Below are 23,210 nucleotides of genomic sequence, written 5' to 3' on the forward strand. Positions count from 1 at the left end.
TGAGAGCCACTTTAGACTTCTGACTTCCAGAACTGTGGGATAATAAACTGGTGTTGTTCTAAGACACTAAGTTTGTGGTCATTTTCGACAGTAACAATAGGAAACTAATGGAGGATGTTTTTCAGGGAAGTGGCAAAACAAAGCAAGAAAAATATATAACTAGAAAGCCATAAATGGCCCTAGAAATGCTGACCACATCTGTTCACAGTGCAGACATAGAAAGGCTGCCTATAGCACGCTCCCTCTACACACACACACACACACACACACACACACACACACACATACACACAATCTGGGAGAGGGCTCTGCAAAGCCTAGGGAAGCAGTTTGAGTCTCACTGAGAAACATATAGATGTTAGGGGGCTTATATCTGTCACTTTGTCCCAACTCTTCTGTCAGAATGTTCCATCTCCACATCACCTAATTTAAATACATTGAAACAAGATCCTCACTGTGAAATTAATACCTGCACCATTGGTCAGAACTGGCATTTAGCATTGCCCAACCTGGACAAAGGCAGGATATTCAGGAATCTCCAGAAGAATTAGACATCCTGTCTTATAGATGCTTATTCATAAAAGAGTGGGGAGAGCCTGAAGGTGTAAAATGTGTTATTTGCCACCTTTAAAACTTCTCCATGGTGCTGAGAGGTCCATCAGTCAAACTGCCACATTTTACAGATGAGGAATAAGAGACATGATACAAGTGGCCCAAAGCCACCCCTTCCACTCATCAGTGTCAGAGCCGGGACATAGCCTGGCCCCTCCCCTTGGTTCCTCCACTGTAGCCCATGACAGGGATTCTGTGAAAGAAGAAGTAAGACTTCATTCTATAGTCAAGAGTCAAATAGATGCTGACCATTTAAAAAAATACATGTGAGTAATATAAGACTACCAGCCCCCTTTCCCCTGACTTTTGCCTCATTATCTGCCCTCTTTCTCAATCATCCCCAAGAGGAAGTACCAAGATGGCTTTCAAATGTGAGCATTGGCCAGGCCACGCTTGTTCTGGGAAGGGATAGTTGGATTTTAAAATATCACACATGGCCACTGTTCATTATCTTTCATTTCCATGTAAAGGGAGAGGTAAACCGGCTCAGGCACCACCTCATCAGGACAGCCCCTGGCATCACTCTCCTTTGCCTGACAATTCCAGTCATGGTGCAGGTAGCTGGCCAGGTGACCGTAACATCCAAGAAGTGGGTTTGGAACGGGAGGAGAGAGGTTGAGCTGAAAGCCTGACCCACCGCGTGCTCCAGCGCAGCCTTCTCAGGGTTCGGCTTTGGAGTGGGGAGTGCGGTACAAGGCCTTACCGGGCATTTGCTCAGCTAAAAATAAAGCGAAGCTGGCTTCTGTCTGCTATCACTCCTTATACGTATTGCTCCCTTCATGTCTCCGGAGGAGAGCTGTTGCAGAAGCCCATCTTTAGGAAGCCCCATGGAGGAAAAAAAGGATAAACTGTTGCTACACACATCATGGACAAATCATCCTATGAACATCGTGTGGACTGAAAGAAGCCACTAAAGAGCACGGTGGGCATGTTTCCACATCTGTGAAGGTCAAAAATAGGCAAAACGAAATCTATGGGACGGGGGCTGGAGGGTGGCGTGGTATTCACTGAGAAGCGCTGAGAAGGGAGCCTGCTGGGTGCTGAAAGTGTGCTCTGTCTCAATCTGAGTGGCAATGACACAGGTGTATATGTATGAAAGACACGTACTGACCTGTAGTTGAGTTATGAACTTTATGTATGCTATTCGGCCTTTAAAACAAAACCTTCGTTTCCCACATGAAATGTACAATTTCCAAATCATTCTGTAAATGACAATGCATTTTTATGTTTAGGGCCCTGAAATACTTAAAATTAAAAAATTTGAAGCTATATTTCCTCTGGATTAAACATGCATTTAAGTCATGTTTGCAGCTCTGAATTTGAATTTTCTTTCTAATTAGAAAGATCAATGGAGAGGCCCTTTTTCATCCACTTTCTCCAAATGGGCCTTTCAGAGTTCAAGGAAAAGCAAGGCAAGAAATATACATTTCAAAAGAGCTAACACACTTTGATTCTTCCACATTTCTATCTATAGAAATTTAAGATTTTTTGCTAGCATTTGAAATTTTTCAGAGTTCTCTTAGCTGCTACAGAAATTTCACATCCAACATCTCTTCTATATAAAGGAAAATGAAGAGGCATGTAAAAGCAGTTTCAGAAAGTTGACTGTGGTATACAAAAATTTTTTTAATTATCATGTTGAAGAGTTTAAAGGAGATGCTATAAAATATGCATTTACTGGTATTGGAACAGATGAAAGCACAGTATTTTCATCTTTAAAGACAAAAAGAACTATTTTAAAAAGCATGTGTTTTTCATAGCGTACTTCACTTTATACCAATGATTCTAAGGTTTCTATTAAACAGAAAAACAAACTACAAGTCTGGCAACCACAAAGATGAAAGGGAGCAAAGTCTCCATAAGTGAAAGAGATTTTAACCAATAGTAAAGTGATGACAAAATCCCACGGTGTACTGACAGCATTGTTAAAGCTCCAAATTATATTTAATGATAGCTAACTGATGTCTAAGGCTACAACACCCCATGGATGTCTGACTGTTGACGAAAAAAGGAAAAAGAGAAACGAGGGATCATGTCTCCTCTAGAGAACAACTAAGTTAAGCTGATCCAGCTGAGACACAGTAGTTTCCAGGGTAAAATAACTTATAATCAACTACATGAATCAGGCTTGGCCTTGCCTTGCATGTGCAACTCAGGCTAATTTACTCCCTTGGGGAATAAATTTAGCACCCAGCAGTAGCTCTGAATCCAAATTCTAAAGACCCCAGTTCAGGTCAGGACTCTTGTCTCTAAGCAGCTGGGACTTTGATTGTCAGAGGTCATTTAAATGTGATCTTGAATAGCAGTTCAAGCTCAGCAAAATCCCTACTTCTTGAAGAAATGACATGTTTACCAGGGAATTGTGAGTTAAGGGAAATAGATCTAGTGGAAATGTGTGGATGTTTAGGGTGCCTGAACTTTTAGCAGAGAAGTTTTACATAGTGTAAAGCAAAGAAGATGATGAGGCTCTCAATGATAGCCACACTCCTATACCAAGCATCAAAGTCAGTAATTTCAAGATCTGCTTTTCTACATACAAATCTCAAATGCTGCCGGGCATGATGGCTCATGCCTGTAATCCCAACACTTTGGGAGGCCCTGGCGGGAGGATCACTTGAGATCAGGAGTTTGAGACCAGCCTGGCCAACATGGTGAAACCCCGTCTCTACTAAAAATACAAAAAGTAGCTGGGCGTGGTGGTGGGTGCCTGTAATCCCAGCTACTTGGGAGGCTGAGGCAAGAGAACCACTTGAACCCAGGAGGCGGAGGTTGCAGTGAGCCAAGATGGTGCCACTGCACTCCAGCCTGGGCAACAGAGTGAAACTCGGTCTAAAAAAAAAAAAAAAATCTCATATGCTAGAGTTGTCACCTGGCAAAATAAATTTGGAGCTAATAGCCAGGACCTTGAGAGGATTTTGTTCCTTGGCTGAATGCAAATCCTTGCCATTTAGTGAAAACAGCAGGACTTCAAGAAGCAGCAAATCCACATCACATCCATCATCTTCAACTCCCACCATGAGCTTGTCCCATATGTAAAAATTAAATCCAAGAGAAACTTAATATTTAGGAGCTGATATTCTCTTAACTCCTTTTTTTCCTTTTTCTTTTTTTTATTTTTTTATTTTTAGGGTCTCACTCTGTCACCCAGACTGGAGTGCTGTGGCACGATTGTAGCTTACTGTGACCTCAAACTCCTGGGTTCAAGCAATCCTCCCACCTCAGCCTCTCAAATAGCTGAGACTATGGGCACACACCATTGTGCCCAGCTAATTTTTTTTATTTTTTATAGAGGTGGGTTTTCACTCTGTTACCCAGGCCAGTCTCGAACTCCTGGCCTCAAGCGATCCTCCTGCCTTGGCCTTTCAAAGTGCTGGGATTACAAGCATGAGCCACCACACCTGGCCTCTCTTCACTCTTTCTAAGAGTTAAATATTCTTTGGGGAAAGAGCATTCAACTGATCAAATTTCATAGTGTATTTTTTCTCCAGGATTTAGGCAAAGCAAAAATGCTGAGAGGTTTTGATAATCATGTTTAATTTTCAGAGCTGTTAAAATATTGTTACTTATTAGGGAAAAAAACAATTTTATAGTTGTTACAGAAAAACAGATCTTTTAAATTAGAAATAAATTGGTAGTTATCTATATCGAAACAATTTTTTTTACCTAAATTTAACAAATTCTTATTACTATGCAGACACAGAAACCTCAATTTCATTTGGCAGCCTGCTCTGCACAAAACATTATGTTGATGCTGTTTGAAAGCCAAGATTTACCAGTCACCACCCTGCAGTAATTTATGATATGAAAAATGTGCATAGGAGGTGAATTGGGCAGGAACTGGCAAAGGCTTCAAGGAAGAAGTGCCATGTTAAGCAAACCATACAAGGTTGGTAAGATGTCAACATATGGAGATGAACAGAATATTCCAAATGAACGGCATGAACAAAGTTTCCCCCAAATGGTGAAAAATAGTCCCTCCTCTGCCCTGAAAATACAGAGTAACTTAATAGGCTCCTTTACTTCTACGAGCCAGGCACACAATTTCCCTAAAAGGAATTGCTAAAGAATATTATGGGACAGGCCAGTGGCATTGGCGCCCAGGAGGTCTCCCAAGCATTCCGTAGCAGACATGCCTCTCACAGGCTGCCATCTCTGTAGGCTGCCTAGTAGGCAGGCAGTTCTGGGGCACCAGATCTCTTCTTGACTTTGGAAACTGGAGAGTCTGGCAGGGTCATTTTCTTCTTTCCATGGCATCTTCCCAGACTGCCTCCTGCCAGCTCCCAGGGAGGATCAAGTGAATGCGTCTCAGTTTATGCTGAAGGCAATGCCTATTCTGCATGCCCATCATGGGAATTCAGAGACGCACAGGCAGGCCGCTGTAGGTTGTGTTGGCCCGAGGACCCAGCAGAATGGGCAGGTAGCGCTGGTCTGAGTCTCCTGAACAAGGAGGAGTCACGTTTTAGCCTCCTTGGCAAGTACTAGGGACCTGGAAATTCCCTGGCCTCATGGCACCCTTGCTTGGAGCAGAGACTCCACTGTAAAGGGGCAATGTCTTCCCATTCCCTAAGGAATGTGTGCCAGGGTCCCTGACAGAGGGATTTAATAAGAAGCTCCAAGACCAAGTCAAATGAGAGTTCTGACATTAATGGCTAATAATTAGTGACTAATACTTGGGACCAGTAGCAAGACCTCCTCCCTCGGAGGCCTAATAAAGAACTGTATCACTGGTTGGGGAAGGAGTTCTTGTTTTGTTTTGTTTGGTTTTTAATTTTTTTTACTTTTTTTGGTAAAAATTGCTGGGGCACCTGTAAAATGTTGCTTCATGTATAAGACTGTGTAGTGATCGAGTCAGGGTATTTAGGGTGTCCACCACCCGAGTACAGTGCGTTTTAAAACAGACACCCTACTCTGCTATCAAACATTCAATGTATTTCTGGGGCAGGAGTTTTTATTCCATCCCAGTGCAGGAATGGCTGAAGGAAACCAGGAAGCAGAGTAGGAGACTAAGGAATGACATCAACATCAGTGACCCTGCAGGGATGGTGACAGGAACAATGTTTGCATGGCAGCCACCTGCCCCATTATGCAGCAAGGCAAGCCACAGCGGAAAACAGCAAAGATCAAAGGGAGCAGATGAAGTACCGGCAGCACTGGCTTCAGAGAAGAACTGTAGTGGCTAATGAGAACGTGTGAGCCACTGCAGGAAAGACACCGTGTGGCCACGTTTCCAGGGATGGGCTGGTAGAAGAAGCATAAACCATTTGGTCCTATTCTGCTGTTTTTACCCAAACCTTTTGCACCTTTGGAAACTGCAGTGGCTTGGGAATTTAGGATATACTCATCTTTAGAATTGTATCATTTCTAAATCTGATTTAGACAAATTTAGTCTATGAAAATGAAAAAAAAAAGAGGGAAAGAGGGAGGGAGAGTTTTGACTCATTTGAAATAATGCTGGAAAAAAATGCGTTTTAAATGACAAGAGTTCAGAACCCTTTTTTTTTTTTTTTTAAAGCACAGCAGTTTCCAAGGTTTACAATTTTGCGGGTCTCTAATGGCGAAGACCCTACAAAGCAAATCCAGCTTTGCCAGCATTCTGTTTTAGAATGTTCTTGGAATTTGTTTGAGGTTAAGGATATTTCCATAACGTAAGTCTACACCTTAGCTGTTTTCCAACATCTGAACATCACTGTTAATGAGACTGCTTCTCTTTTATTTTGCTGCGGCCTTTCTCAGCTTCCCACAATTGGGATAACATTTCATATCCACAGGAATGGAAATCATAACCAATAGCTCGCTTTCCTCTTCTGTGGTTTCTGTTTGTGTTTTTGCCCCTGCTTCCTTAAGCTTCCTTGGCCCCCACCTCCCCTGCAACCACTCACCCCTTCAAGCACTGCTCCACCCAGCATCTGTACTGAAAGTAAAGTTTTATGAAAAGTAGAATAAAGGGACTATAACAGGGGCTTATGCCTAGAGGCTTTCTGCAGAGCACTGAACTTGGAGTTGTAAGACTGGGGTTCAACGCCAACGCCCCAAGCCCCACGCGCGAGCCTGCCTTGGTTCCCATTGCCTATATAAGGTACAAACTCTTTAGCCTGGAATTCAAAGTTTTCCACAATCTGACACTGACCCGCATCAGTCACCCACCGCAGGTCCCACATAAATTCTCTTCTCCAGCCAACTGGGAGGTTGCCCCTGAGCGAGGAATGTTCATCCCTGCTCTCGGCTTTTGTCAGCGTTCCACTTAACTACAATGTCTGCCCATGCCTTTCCCCTCAGAGGTCCTGAGGACCTGAAGCCCGTTCCTGGGTGTTAGCAAATGTTACCACCCTCAGAATTGGAAATAATGTTATGCCCTCAAATTAAGTGATATTAGCTTTCAGTATAAGTCACCTTAGAAGATAAGTCAAAACAATTAAAGGAACAGAAACTATCATCTGGTATTCATTGGATGTAAAAGAAAGCAGGAATCAAATGCATGTGCAGAAAGGATGTGTGAACCGTACAAGGACTGACCTGTGTGAAATCTCGCAAAAAGGAGCCCAAGGGATCCCAAGCAGTCACAGGTTGTCCGTGTGTCTGTGTCTTTGTACGTGTGTCTGTGTCTTTGTCCGGGAGAGAAGTTGTCCTCGCCAGTGAACAGAAGCATTCTGGTCCACTTGGCAGACTGTCCCTTAGTAGACATGAATATGCTCAAGTGTCATAACCTGGTCACCTCACTGCTGAGAACACCCCACTCCTTCCCTTTGCTGGGATTTCGTGCTCACTGAGGGGCCCTTGACCACATTTGGGTCCCTGTGTAGGCTTACATAAAAAGAGAGGAAGGCTAACGGAGAGACTGGATTGCCCAAATTCACATCATCTAACAAAACAGTGATCGGCTTATAACCCACAGCTTGATCCCCTGTAAGTTTGTTTTGCCCAGACCTATCGCTAAGAACCTGGCCAACTCCAGGCACCCTGACCAAATTGGTTCGTGAACCTAGCAAGCCAAGAGCTAGAGCACGAATGTGGTGGCTCTTGGAAGTAACGCCTGCTGAAAGCCCTGTCTGGGAGGCCATAATGAACCTCTGGAGACATCATCTCCTGTCTCTATCATTGTGACACAATCTCACCTTGTACCAGTCAGGGTCTGGTTGAGTGAAAACCCACACCAGCCATCTTACAGGGAGAAACGAACATAAAGGATTGTAGAACCGAAAATGCAAAAGGGGAACACCCCAGTTTCATGAATGTAACAACAGCAGAAAGTAGCTCTCACCCCTAGGGCTGGGGGAGCAAAAGAAAGAGGTTGGAAATTATTGAATTTTAGAAGATTAAAGTAGGGAGATGAGGCTTCCTGCAATGCGGGAAGTAGAGGATATATTGGAGGGGAATAAAAATGAATGAAGGCAGAAGGACCAGTGAATGCCTGAATGAAATGCGTGCCTGTGAGAATGGAGAGGAGAGAGGAGATTTGAGGGAGACTGGGAGGTTAGTCTCAGACAACTAAGAAGGAGGCACCTGTAGCTGATGCTGGTGTTTCTGAAGGAATGTGATGAGCTGGGGCTGGTCTGCAAGGCAAACAGGAAACAGCATCCAGATTCCTTCTTCCTCTTCCTGCTGTCCAGGAAACCTCCCGTGTCTCCTATTGTCAGAACACAACAAGGATCCAGGGACCAAAGCACAAAAGTGTTTTGCAGGGTCCTTGCACCAGTGTCACGAACCAGAGGAAGAGGGTGATTTGGAGCTGAGGAAATAGCTTGACAATAGCTTGATAACTGGCATGATATTGAAATATTTAGATATTTGTTGTTCATTGCCTCTTCTTCCACTTGAGAGTTAGCTCTAAGAGGGTAGGGATTTTTGTTTTGTTCATTGCAATATCACCTACATCAAAACAGTCTCTAACAAACAGCAAGAACTCATTGCAGTCAGGTGTCACTAACAACAGGGTTATGCTCCGAGAAATGCGTCGTTAGGTGATTTCATCGTTGTGCGGACATCATAAAATGTGCTTACCCAAACCTAGATGATATAGCCTACTACACACCCAGGCTATATCGTATAGCCTATTGCTCCTAGGTGACAAGCCCGTACAGCATATTACTGTACTGAATACTGTAGGCAACTGTAACATAATGGTAAATATTTGTCTACCTAAGCATATATAAACATAGAAAACGTACAGTGAAAATATGGTATTATAACCTTACGGGACCACTGTCGTATACGCAGTCTATTGTTGACCAAAACGTCATTATGTGGCACCACTATAGGTAAATGTCAAATTAATGAATTAGTATCATCACCCAAAACAAAATATGAAAATCAAAAGCTATAGCAAAATATACTCTCCAAAATATTAATACCTCTTAGCCAATGTACTAGTTAGAGTTAGGTTTGGCTTTCAGTACCAGAAAAGTCAAAATGGTAGTGGCTTAACCATGAAGGCACTTGCTCACCAAAAAGAAACCCAGACGTCATCAGTTCAAGGGCTGATGTGGCCCTCCATCCATAGTGCTAAGGGCCCAGGCTCCTTCTCGGTTGTTCTGCTAGTCTTAGCTCCGCATCACGGTCCACTGTGGCTGCTCCACCCCAGCCATCCCATTAGCATTCCAGCAACAAAAAAGAGAAAAAGCACATCCAGAAGTTAGTCACGTGGTCCACATCCAGCTGGGAGAAAAATAACATTCTGAGTGGCCATGAGCCCACCTAAAACTCATGTCCTAGGTAGACTACAGAAGAGGTGAGAATGAATGTTCTAATTCTCATCATTTTCATGAACCACATTTATAGAGAGAGAGCAAGACAGAGACTCAAAGAACAGCTGCATGTGGAAGGAAAATGTTGACATTTATGATGACTGTGAGATCCTTGCATTGGATAAATTCTCGGAGCAATTGGACTTAGTGTAACATCAGTGTAACACCTTAAAATAATAACACGAGGTGTCTTTGCATACATGGAGAACCACTGCCTAGCAAATCATATTTATTTTCTTCCTTTCGTATATGTAACAAAGAAGAGAATTTCTCGACACTTGCTGTGGTGGAGTATGCATTCATTGTGTCTGCAATTTCTTGTATATGACTATCTTTTCTAATTTCTCCACACTAAACATGTGAACATATACTGCTTGTGTAATAAAAACTTGTTTATAAAACATACACACAGTACAGTAGTTGTTTCCAATTCTCTTAGCTACAGAATGAGTCGATCTTTTTCATATCAAATTACTTTTCAAAGTGACCTAGTGGACTAAGCATGAGTCTGGGAGCTGGAAACCCTCCAAATCTTTATCAAAGTACAAGGGGCTCCTGCTGTGGAACCTTTGCTATTCCTTTATCCCCTCTGAATCTTAGGTTCCTTGTGCAATACATAAGTATACTCAGGGATATTGAGTTGAATTGATTAGCATTCTCTGGGACTACAAAGACATAACATTGTTTTTATTTAAGGTTGTTGAAAATTGAGTCTGAGGCATAATACCTAAATAAAAGCTGTTTCATTAGCCTTTGTGCTGCGAATAAAATGATACATCCTTTGAGTAAATTGTAAATAGCAGAGTTTCAACAAGCCAAAGCCTCACAGCCTAGGACCTATTTTCTCCTATTTGACGTGGTAAAAGAAGTTACGCTAGGTTATCAACAACCTAGTGCTATGAATTATGTGTATGTGATAGATACCATTTTTAAATTGAATACTTTTATTAAAAATTCACTATATTATTCTTTTTTCCTTTTTTATATTAAGGTTCAATTTACAGAAGATTAAAGTAGATTTTTACCCTTTTTATTGTGCAGTTCTTCAAGTTTTGAAAAGTGTATAGAGTTGTGTAACCACCACCAGGATGCAATAGTTAAGTAAAACAGTTACATCACCCTAAAAAATTCCTTTTCACCCCTTTGCAATCCACTCCTCTCCCTACCCCAGCCCCTGGCAACCATTGATTGGTTATCTGTCCTTGTAGTTTTACCTTTGCAAGATTATCATGTATCATTCGTTTCATAAGGTGAAATCATACAGGATAAGGTCTTTGCCTTCTTTCACTTGGTATATATGAGATATAGCCATGTTGTTGCATATATCTGTAATTCGTTTCTTTTATTGCTAAGTAGTATTCAACTACATGAATGTATCACATTTTGTTTATCCATTGCCCAACTGAGTGACATTTGGTTGTTTCCAGTTTTTGGTGATTACAAACGAAGTCAATATAAAGATTCACATACAGATTTTTGTGTGGACATAGGTTTTCATTTCACGTGGGTAAATACCTAGGAAAGAAATTGCTGGGTCCTACAGCAAGCATACATTTAACTTTACAAAAAGCTGCCAAACTGTTTTCCAAAGGGCTGTGCCATTTTGCAGCCACATCAGCAATAGATGAGAGTTCCAATTGCTCCAAATTCTTGCTAATGTTTGATAATGTTGATTTTTGTTTATTTTAGCTATTCCAATTCAGTGTTTAATGGTATTTGTGGTCTTGATTTGCATTTCCCTAATTATTAGCGATGTAAAACATCTTTTTATGTGCTTATTTGCCATCCATGTAGCTTCTTTGATCAAATGTTGGTTGAATTCTTCTGCTCATTTTTTAACTGGGCTCTATGGTTTTCCTATTATTGAGTTTTGAGAGTTCTTTACACTAGTTCTTTATCAGATATATGTTTTGCAAGTACTTCTTACCAGTCTGTGGCTTTTCATTTTCTTTACCACTGCATTATTCCTTTTTTTCTTTAGTTCAAGAGATCTATTGTATAGCACGATGACTATAGTTAATAACAGTATATTGAATACTTCAAAACCGCTAAGAGAGTAGATTTTAAGTATTCTCACCACAAAAATAATGATAAGTATATGAGGTCATGAACATGTTAATTAGCTAGATTTAACATTCTACAATCTATACATCTATCAAAACATCATGTTTTACACCATAAATATATATAATTTTTACTTGTCAATTTAAAAAGTAAAAATTAACACATTTTTAAAACAACATTTAGAATCCAGACCTTGCACATTTTCATCACAGATGCACATGGCACCAGTGATGTATTATCCAGAGCTTGGGGCAAGCCTCTCCGACGTACACATGGTCAACTCGCCCAGCTTTGTCTTTCAGTTTCTTCTCTTTTTTGGATCTAGAGGAAGTGTATCACATAAAAGAGTGGTGAAGATGACATAGAGGAGGTACTGTCTTGAAGGATTCTGGTCTTGAAGAGTGAGAAGTATTACTGATCCACTGCTGTTGCAAAAAACTGGGTAGTCAGAGGGTTACGGGGTGGTATAATAATGAAAGCCCTGAAGTTGGAATGAATCTGCTGCCATGTCGCTCTATCTCTCTGCACCTTATTCTTTTTTTTTTCATTTTGACTTAGTTGAAAATACTGTCAAAAATATTACTGTTAGCTACTTGGGAGGCTTAGGTAAGAGGATTGCTTGAGCCCAGGAGTTAGAGGCTGCAGTGAGCTATGATTGCCCCACTGTACTCCAGCCTGAGTGACAGAGTGAGACCTTATCTCTAAAAAATATATATATTTTTTAAAAAAGAATATTATTGACCTGACTGTGTTTGGAAACTCCTGCTCTGTAAAACACACATAAAAATAATGGACAGGGTTCCTGTTCTAGGGATGTAAATAATTTCATTGGTGTGCTAGTACATAACTTAATCTTACCTAAGGGTAAGAAAAAAGCTCTGCTCCATGAGGTCATCCAGAGACCCAGGTTCTTTCTAGCCTGTGGCTCTATTACCCTCGGGCCTATTGTTCTCATCTGTTAGTTAAAGTTAATTCACTCTCACTTTATCTGCATTTCTACCTGAGTGAAAAGAGAAGGCAGAGCACAAGCTACTTCCTTTTTAGGACATGACCCAGAAGTTACAGGACATGACCCAGAAGTTACTAACATCCTTTTGGCCACATATTAGTTACCTATCTACAGCTAGCTGCTCAGAAAACTTGAAAATGAACTATTTAGCTGGACAATCATGTGCTCTGCTTAAAACCCTACTCTATGGAAGAGTCTACGTAGGGGATCACATAGCAGTCCAGCATAGAGAGGAAATGGAGGTGTGGTAACTAAAATCAGATCTTCTTACTCATACTCACGGACAACCAGAAAGCAGAAGCTGCCTTTTGCAAACTCAAAGTTACTTTTGAGGTTAACGGAAAGTTGAATAAGATGTTCCTTTGCTCACTTCAAGCTGAAGACAGAAAGGAGTTAAGTGGCCTCACACTCTGAAGGACGCTGAGCATCAACAGTGTCAGACGCCCACACAAAACCCACACCACACAGTCCCTAGCCCCACCCCCAACCCCCCAAAGACTGAGTTAGTGAAGTAAGAGGAAGTCATTGAGTAATTGCCCTTCTGAGGAATGTAATTTTCTGTTGTAAGAGGTCATTCCTTCCCCACCCTAGGAGAAAGGGAAAAAAACAGGTTATATCCCTTCTCAAAGATAAATGAACAAGGCTCAAGAAAACCACTTTAAAAAATTAGAGGAGTGTTTCTCATGCAGGAGCAATTTGGCTCCCCAGATGGGATGACCAACAATTCCAGTCTAGGTTGGGACTGAAGAGTTTCCCAGATGATTTCATTTCCTACTTTGGTTCTAACAAATTAGCACAAACGTAGGGACTTAAACAACGCAGACATATTATCTCACAGTTCTGGAGGTCAGAAGTCTCACTAGATTAAAATCAAGGTGGTGACAGGGTCATGTTCCTTTTGGAGGCTCTAGAAGAGAATCCACTTCTTGCCTTTTCCAACTTCTAGAGGCTGCCTGTATTCCTTGGCTCATGGCCCCTTCCATCTTCAAAGGCAGCAATTACATCGCTCCAACCTCTGCTCCTGTTGTCACGTTTCCTTCTCTGACTCTGACACTGCTGCCTCCTTCTTACAAGGATCCTTGTGATTACCATGTGCCCACCCAAATCATCCAGGATAATCTTCTCATCTCAAGATGCCTAACTTAATCACACCCACAAAGTCCATTCTGTCATATAAGGTAGCATATTCACAGACTTGGGGGATTTGCCTGTGGTCAGCTTTAGGGAGACATTATTCTGCATCCCTTACCAGTTCATGGGATTTTTAGACTTGACATCAGGAAAGTTGGTCACGCTATTGCCACAAAATCTTTGGCAATATCTGAAAACATTTTAGATTGTCACAATTGTCATCTAGTGCAGGGGTCCCCAACCCTGGGGCCACTGGAGCATGAGTCCTATTGTGAACTGCACGTGAGGGATCTAGACTGTGCACTCTTCATGAGAATCTAATGCCTTATCATTTGAGGTGAAAGAGTTTCATCCAGAAACCATCACCCCCACCCCCTTACCTCCCCGCACCCTTCGCCCCATGTCCATGGAAAAATTGCCTTTCATGAAACTGGTCCCTGGCGACAAAAGCATCGAGGACCACTGATCGAGTGGGTAGAGGCCAGGGATGCTGTTAAACATCCTACAAGATACTGGACAGCCCCTCGCAGCAAAGCATTATTCAGCCCAAAATGCCAAGGCTAAACTCAATATTAGAGGTACATAGAAAAGTCAAGAATGGCATCCTTAGATGGTGAAATTGATGAGCTCCTCTCTGCCGAGCTGAGGTGGGAAAAAGAAGATGGAGGGAAATGGCAGGTCTTAGACAAGGGCAGCAGTGAGAGGCATGCGTTTCTATTCTTGGCATGGAACAAACATTTCAGTTTCCTGTGGGTTGAGTGGCTCTCGTGAAAACGGGCTGGGAGGAAGCTGCCCTGTCAGTGCCATGCTCTGAGGATCTGTCCACCAAGTGAGTGAACTCTGGCAGCAAGGGCAAACTGCCAGGGCCAGGTGCTGTGGAGGCTGGACCAGAGTGGGCCAGAGCAAGACTTTCCAAAAAGGGAACTGTGCAGTGGAGGAAGTGTCACATAGCCTCCTAAAACTTATTTGAAAAGTCTGTGGGCAAATCAGCCTCTGGATGCCTGCCGCAAAGACAGCATCCACAGCCCATCAGGTCATTGCAGCAAAAGAAGCTGTAACAACCAACATGAGGAGATTGGGATTGTGCCCCTACTTTGTCTCTGGTCCCTCAGAATGAAATGATGAAAGAAAACAGAAGGGCAGAACACACACCTTCCGTGTTCAATGTCCTTTCTGCCAGAAGTCTGACCTGTAATGGGACACAGAGAAAGTTTTACATGAGATGTGAGATTTGAGTTTAAACTGAACTAATTTCAATAAATTGGAAGTGACTAGAAAGGATCAGCCCAAGAGGTCTTAAAAATCTGCTGCTACTTAGTATAGCAAGAAGACTGGACAGATGGTAATGGAAAGCAGTGATTAGCGAAAAAATAATTTTATTCTTCTACCTCACCAAGTTGTCTTCAAAGTATAATATTTCTATTGACCAATATCATTGGTGGGATCATAAAATGACCTCAATCCATAACTCAAAAGTGTGGTGGAATCTTGCCCCAGGGCCCAGAACCATCAATTTTCCATGTGACATAAATAATATCGCATTAGAATTGCTATGGCTGGGTGGTCTTGCCCTCAGTCACCCAAAGGCCTCACAGGAGCAACTGACCCGGTTAAGGGATCCTGTTGCTAAAGTATGTCATGTGACCTGAGCACTTGCTCTCAGTAACGGAGTCACAGACTCTACAACCACATAGAAAATGTTTCTCTTGTTCCATAACTCTAATTGAAAGCAGCTTATTACCTTAGCTTTCCATACCCATATATTTGTTTATGGGAGGAGCCATACTGAAATATTATCATGGCTTTGTCCTCCCTGTATTTTTCCCTTTCTACCCTTTCAAGCAAGTAGCCAGACAATTTTATGCCCTGTGATAATGGGATGCCTAAGAAGTTACAGAGCCAAAAGCAGAAGCTTCCTGCAAGATAATTCCCTTTCTTTTGAAAAAGGCTAAGTTCTTTAAAGAGGCTATACTCATTGTCCTGGAGGAAAAGGTCCTTTGAGAAAGGGTAAAAAAAGAGTAATGATTTGGGCCTTCATTGAAAAAAGGAAGATCAGAGTTCCAGACAAAGTGAGGACCAAGGCAATGCTTCTGGAAGGCCCTAGGTAGTGCCTGATGCCAGAGTGGGGGCTGCACTTATACCCAGAGCTGGACCCTCTTCTCACCCCAAGTGTGGCACAAGGTCATAGAGCATTAGAACCGAAGAAGACCACATGGGCTACGACTATAGGCATCTCTGCAGTAACCAGGCCAGAGAGAGAACCAGCTCCAGTGCCTTGGGGCTCCACAAGACCCCTGGACCCTGGTGTAGCCCTGAGCATAGGGCTCCAAGTATGTTAGAAACAGAATGTCTGGCTTCTCTCTCCACCCCACTGCAGGACAAGGGCTTAGAGTTAGATGAAGAAAACAAAGAACTGGAGGTGTGGACTGATATTGTAACAATATCCCATTCATTTCCCTAATTTTTTTTCTCTTCTTCTGTTTTTTTTTTTTTTTTTTGAGTTGGAGTCTTGCTCTATTGCCCAGACTAGAGTGCAGTGGTGCTCACTGAGCCTTGAACTCCCTTGGGCGGGGGAGGGGGGAGAGAGAGAGAAAGAAAGAAAGAAAGAAAGAAAGAAAGAAAGAAAGAAAGAAAGAAAGAAAGAAAGAAAGAAAGAGAAAAAAGAAAAGAGCACAATTATGAGGGATGGGGTATTTCAAAGGGACACAGGCACTCGCCAACGAAAGAAGCTCCAATGGTCAAGGCAGGAACAACTTGAGCAACAAAATAAATAAAGTAGTTGAATGATAACTCAATATCCTTGAGACCATACTGATGTATATACCTTATTGAATAAATAAATTTATGGAGAAGAAGAGACAAATTTATCATGCAGAATAATTCCAAATAATTTATGTAGATTCTTCCCCAAGAAGGTAGAGCATAACTTCTCACTCACTAACTGTGAGCTGTGCAGAGGGAGTTTTTTCAACACTATACTACAGAAGGGAGGAGAAAAAGTAACTTTTCAGTAGAGAAACCTGCAAACACTACCTCATCTGGGTGTTCAAACTCAGCATCAACAGTGATAAGTCATGTTGATGGTATGTGCTCTTGATGTGATGTGATGAGACTCTCACGTTGACTATGTGGTCTTTTTCCCAAAACCCATAACTCCAGCCTAATCAGGAGAAAAGCATCAAACAAATTCCAACAGTGGGACGTTTCCAAAATAACCTGATCGGTACTCCTCAAAACTGTCAAGGTTATCTGAGAAACTGCTAGCCTAGAGGAGATTATGAAGATATGATGACTAAATGTAATGTGGTATCCTGGGTAGGATCCTGAAACAGAAAGAGGACATTAGGCATAACTGAAGAAATGAATAAAGTATGGACTTTAGTTAATAATAATGTATTAATATTTGTTCATATAGTAACAAATACGCCACACCAGCGTAAGAGGTTAATAATAGGGAAAACTGGGTGTGGGTATATGAGAACTCTACTATCTTCACAACTTTTCTGTAAATTTGAAACTATTCAAAAAATAAACTTTATTTAAAATATAGAAGGCTCTTGGGTTTATTTTAAGCCTCAAAGAAATGAATATAATGGACTAAAAATTGGACAATTTATCACAAAGGCAGATATAGCTTAGTGGTAATAATGTCTGGAAAGAGTATTAATATGTTAATTGGTTTATACCTCTATATATTGGTTTGTATTCTATTGGAAGCCCAAAATGTTATCCAGGAGATATTAATGTGCTAGCGATGAGACATTGTACTCAGTGATTCTAAGAAACATCTATTTACTTTAACAAGAATTTGATGGCTAAAAATGTTTAAATGATTTGAAAATTTCCTTCTGTAACTTCCCTATAAACTCCAAATTTCTTAGGGGTCAATAAATCAATTATATATTTTTAAAAATCCTACCTTCAGCTTTTAAACACTTGAAAAGCTGTCCAACCTCACTCATAAGAGGAATTATATAAAGTGGAATAGTATTTTTATCACATTCATAAAAACCCAAAAGTGATATTGGCATAGCTGTGGAAAAATAGGCACCTTCATACATTGTTGTGAGAACATAAATTGGTAAAACCCCAATGGAGGCGATCTGGCAAAATCAAAATTATAAATGATTATATCTTTTATTCAACAATTCCATTTCTAGGAATTTATCCTACAGAGATACTCACATATATGCTGATATGGTTTGGCTGTGTCCCCACCCAAATATCATCTTGATTTGTAGCTCCCATAATTCCCACGTGTTGTGGGAGGGACCCAGTTGGAGATAATTGAATCATGGGGGTGGTTTCCCCCATACTGTTCTCTTCATAGTGAATATGTCTCACAAGATCTGATTATTTTATAAAGGGTTGCCCCTTTCACTTGGCTCTCATTCTCTCTTGATTGTCACCATCCATGTAAGATGTGACTTTGATCCTCCTTGCCTTCTACCGTGATTGTCAGGCCTCCCCAGCCATGTGGGACTGTGAGTAAATTAAACCTCTTTACTTTATAAATTACCCAATCTTGGGTATGTCTTTATCAGCAGCATGAAAACAGACTAATACACATGCAAATAACATTAGTATAAGTTTATTCATTGCAGTTTTGTGTGTAATAGCAAAAGATTGAAAATGTCTATAAATGAAAAGTCTGATTAAATAAAATAAGATGCATTCCTACAATGAAATACCATGTGGCTATTTTTTTTAAAAAAAGAACAAATAAGCTCTTTATAGATTGATACAGAAAATCTTTAAAATATACTGTTAAGATAAAAAGCAAGATGCAGAGTAGTAGACATATCATTAATATAAAAGGGAGATAGAAATTGGTTCATAAATATATGTTAAAGTGCTTGGAAAGACAAACCAAATATTAACACCAGTGATTACCAATTGGGGATGAGAGATGGGGTGAGGGGTAGGAACTGGGCAAATGAAAGACAAGAGTCTACTTTCACTGAATACTTTTTTATACCTTTTGATATTAGAACTACATAAATAGGTACTATAATACCTATTCAAAAAATCAAATACATTTTTAAACTCTACCTTGTGAGAAGTGGAAGGCCATTAACTGTGCTGCAGAATTCTTATTCAGATAAAAAGCATAAATGTACTACCATATAGTATCTATTAGTCATTACATTTTCTATTTCCTTTAACTGAGTCAAAACAGAAACATCAGAATTAAAGGCATCATATTCATTTTAGTATTTTGATATAGTTTTAACTTGCAAATAGTCTGGAGGTAGTTTTAGAGACATGATTTGTGACACATTTAGTCCTAGTTACATACAGCACTTTTCAAAAACATATTAATGATATAAATTAATTCAATAACAGAACTTGAAGCTTGAAAGCCATTATTTCTCCCTAGCGAAGCTAATTTGTCTCCTGCAGGGACATGCCAAGAAGAAAATTTTGAGTCCTAACTCTGAGTCTCTTTGTTTAATCATTGTATTTTCTCTTACCAATGTATAAAATCTCATATTTACAATTCTACAGCTAGGTTACTATAATTATCATTCCAAGCAACATATTATTTGTACCTGTTGTAATAAATATACACAATGCATAAGAGAAAAAATATGAACTCTTCTTCCATGAAGGTTTTCCAAATATTGGAGTGCAAAGGGACATAATTCAAATTTGTAAAGAAATTTTTGAGTCATTACCATAAGCTATGAGTTTTAGGCTGTAAATATAAAACAAATATATACTGCCCCTGTACTCCAAAACATATGACTAGTTAGAGAATAAAACAACTGTATATGTAACTCTAACACAATACATAATATGAAGAGTAATGTATTAATAAAAGTGGGACAAATTGATACAGGTATATGAAGGAGGAGAAGATCTCATCCAGTTGAGAGGGATCAGAGAGAACTTTGATGAAGAAGGTATCATTTGAGATAGTCTTGAAGAATGGCTAAGATTCCGATAAGCCAAACAAGAGGGGAGTTACTTAAGGTCAAAGGAATCCGTAAACCAAAAGATGATGCGTTTGGGAAATAACAACGCATATCATTCCCTCCAGCTTATAAAACTCTCTTATCTTAACAGAAAGAAGAAAAAAGGAGAAGTAGAGGAAGGAAGGGTGAAAGGAAAGAGGAAAGGAATAAATAAATGAAAGAATGAAAGAAGGGGGCTGGACCAGTGGCTCATGCCTGCAATTCCAACACTTTGGGAGGCTGAGGCGGGAGGATCACTTGAGCCCAGGAGTCCGAGACCTGTCTGGGCAACACGATGAAACCCCATCCCACAATATAAAAATAAAGAATGAAAGAAGGAACAAATGATAAAAGAAGAAATAAAGTTTCCGTGGACCCTACCTTCCTTTCTAGCTATTGTGAACCTCATTCATTCCATTTCAAGCTAAATTCAAACCAAGACAAAGTCCATTCCTTGATTCCAGTTTCTCATTTTTTGCTCACTCTTCAAACTACTGAAATCTGGCTCCTGCCCACATCACTCCACTTAAACTTCTCTTCATAAGGTCCCCTACAACCTCATTGCCAAACCTTACTGGAGAGTTTTCAGTGTTCACCGTGCCTGACCATTCTGTGTCATTTGACTGTGTACCACATCCTCCTTCAAACTTGCTCCATGTGGTTTCAGCTCCACCAGTCTTTCTCCACTCCTACCTCTCCAGCATCTCCATTTCTCTGGCTCAACTTCTTCCTTCCCAATCCTTAAATGTTGGTATTATCCAGAGCTGTGTTCTTGCTCTCTCTTCTTCCTCCATACGCTTACCCTGGGTAATTTTTTCCTCTCCCGTGACTTTAAATGCTACCTGTATGCCAGTGGTTCTCAAGTGACTGGGGGTGATTTCTACCCTTCAAGGGGACACGTGGCAATGTCTGACATTGTTTTGCTTGTCACAATGGGATTTGGAGGAGGTGCTCCCGGCATCTAGAGGGTGGAGACCACGGAAGCTGCCAAACATACTACAACGCACAGGAATATCTGGCCCGAAATATCTCACCACAAAGAATATCTGGCCTGAAATGCCAATTTTCCCAAGATTGAGAAATTTCTGCTACTTGCTAACGAATCTCAAGTTCCTTTATTTAGTTTCCATCAAAGCTAGATGTGCATTGTTATTACATATCCTATTGCCCTTCAAACAGCTCCACCTGTATGTCCCCCAAACATTCTAACCTCTAAATGTCTAAAACTGAACTTGTTTTTCTTATCAAAACCTATTTCCCCCTTCTGTGCTCCTCATCTCAATGATACCACCAGTCATCCAAGTTGTTTCCAGCCAGAGATCTGGAAATCAGTTTGACCTCATGCCTGCCTTTCTTTGCTTACTGCCACACATCCAGTCAGCAGTTCTTTCCATTAAAAAGCTTTCGAATCAATTCCTCCCTCTTATTTATTATTGTACATCTTACCTAATTTATTGCTATATATACTTCCTAAGTTAATATCTGCTTCCAGTACCTGTAGTAATCAGAGTGCAGGCTCTGGAATCAGACAATCTGAGTTGGAATTCCCACTTTGGATTCCACAACTTTCTTGTTTCTTTCTTAGGCATGTTGCTTATACTCTCTAAATTTCAGTTTTTCTTCTTGAATGTTATCAGTACTAACTTCATGAGTTGGTTGTGAAGATTAAATGATTTAATATATGGGATGCTCATGCAGTGTGAGGGAATGCTTATAAATACAGTCATTACTATTATGTCACATCTTCAATCCATACTAAAACTGTCAGAGTGATCTTTCTAAGGCAGTCACACCTGATTAGGAGCCCATTTATTTCAAAGCCCATTTTATTTCCTCCGCATGGTGCTTAACCCCTCTTCACCCTTACTATTCATCTTCTCAAATAGAATAACGCTGAGCTAGAGGATACATTAAAAGTCATCTTGTCCACATATCAGGGATGAGAAAACAGGCCAAAAAGTTTTCCAAATTTGATAAAATCTATAAAATTGTCAACCTAGAATTCCATACTCAGCTAAAATACCTTTCAGAAATGAAAGTAAAATCAAGACTCAGACATAAGGCACAGTGGCTCATACCTGTAATCCCAGCACTTTGGGAGGCCAAGGCAGGAGAATCACTTGAGCCCAGGAGTTTGAGACCACCTGAATAATAAAGTGAGACCTCATCTCTACAAAAAATTAGTCAGGCCTGGTGGCATGCACCTGCAGTCCCAGCTACTTGAGAAGCTGAGGCAGGAGGATTGCTTGAGCTCAGGAGACCAAGGCTGCAGTGAGCCATGATTGTGCTACTACACTCCAGCATAGGTGACAGAATGAGACCTCGTCTCAAAAAAAAAAAAAAAAAAAGAAGTTGAAAGAATTCATGACCAGAAGACCCACACTGCAAGAAATGCTAAAGTAAGTCCTTAAGACAGAGGAAAATAATACCAAATGGAAATACAGAACTCCACAAAGGAGTGCAGAGCATTGGGAATGAATACACGGGTAAATATATAGGATTTTTTCCTATTCTTATTAAATATTATTTAAATGTCCTTAAAAGAAAATTGACTGTTTAAATACAAATAATAACAATATTATAAAAATATTTGAAGAGTCATGTGAAAAATATATAACAATAATGGCAGAAAGACAGGGAGAAGTAGAAATGGAAGTACATTATTGTAAGGTTCTTATACTCCATGCGAACTGGTACGATATCCCTTGAAAGTAGACTGAGCAGAGTTAAAGCTATAAACAATAAACTCTAAAGCAACCACTATAATAACAAAGAGTTATAACCAATAATCCAGCAAAGGAGACAAAAGGAAATCGTAAAAAATACTTGATTAATTCCATTGCTGGGTGCAGTTGTGCATGCCTGTAATCCCAGCTGAAGAGGCTGAGGCAGGAGGATCACTTGAATCCAGGAGTTCAAGACCAGCCTGAACAACACAGCAAGATGCCATCTCAAAAAAAAAAAAAAAAAAAAAAAAAACTTGATTAATTCAAAGGGAGATATAGAAAGAAAAAAGGAGGGGAACAAAGAACACATGGCACAAATAGAAAACAAACTGCAAGGTGATCAATTTAAACCTAACCTTATCGGTAATCATATAAATGTAAATGGGACCTAAACAACCCAATTAAAAGACAAAGATTCCCAGGAGGAATATTGGTGATTAATAAAAAAGAAGAGAAAAAGAAAAAGGCAAAGATTGTCAAATTGAATAAAACAGCACAACCCAACAATATGTTTCCTACAAAAAAAATACACTTTATATATAAAGACATAAAAAGATTAAAAGTAAAATGATGGGGAAAATATACTATGCTAACACTAATCAAAAGAAAGCTGGAAAAAAATATGATCAATTACATTTATGCATTTTCTAACTTTAAAGGAAACTTGCATTTCTTATAAAACCAGCTGGATCGCAGGCATGATGGCAGGTGCCTATAATCCCAGCTACTCGGGAGGCTGAGACGGAAGAATTGCTTAAACCTGGGAGATGGTGGTTGCAGTGAGCCAAGATTGCACCACTGCACTCCAGCCTGGGCGGCTGAGCAAGACTCTGTCAAAAAAAAAAAATGTCATTTTATATGATAAAGTTGTCAATTCATCAGAAAAACATAACAATCCTAAATGTCTATGCGTCTATAACAAAGCTTCAAAACACATGAAGCAAAACCTGATAGAACTGTAGGGAGAAAT

General features: G+C 40.3%; 1 protein-coding gene across 1 annotated transcript in view, besides 3 other annotated features; it reads left to right on the forward strand.

Annotated features, from left to right (window-relative positions):
• Positions 1-23,210, forward strand: part of TAB2 (TGF-beta activated kinase 1 (MAP3K7) binding protein 2) — a 193,682-nt gene that overhangs the window by 41,163 nt on the left and 129,309 nt on the right. The window lies entirely within an intron of this gene.
• Positions 7,531-7,731: a silencer, noted in NCBI's record as "peak6210 fragment used in MPRA reporter construct". NCBI's record gives its function as "represses an SCP1 promoter by STARR-seq MPRAs in K562 erythroleukemia cells {active_cell/tissue: K562}" and the evidence as "EXISTENCE:reporter gene assay evidence [ECO:0000049][PMID:32103011]".
• Positions 12,261-12,360: an enhancer, noted in NCBI's record as "active region_25251". NCBI's record gives its function as "activates an Ori minimal core promoter by ATAC-STARR-seq in GM12878 lymphoblastoid cells {active_cell/tissue: GM12878}" and the evidence as "EXISTENCE:reporter gene assay evidence [ECO:0000049][PMID:35858748]".
• Positions 12,891-12,940: a silencer, noted in NCBI's record as "silent region_17657". NCBI's record gives its function as "represses an Ori minimal core promoter by ATAC-STARR-seq in GM12878 lymphoblastoid cells {active_cell/tissue: GM12878}" and the evidence as "EXISTENCE:reporter gene assay evidence [ECO:0000049][PMID:35858748]".

The sequence above is a fragment of the Homo sapiens genome, chromosome 6, assembly GCF_000001405.40.
Source record: "Homo sapiens chromosome 6, GRCh38.p14 Primary Assembly".
Taxonomy (NCBI): domain Eukaryota; kingdom Metazoa; phylum Chordata; class Mammalia; order Primates; family Hominidae; genus Homo; species Homo sapiens.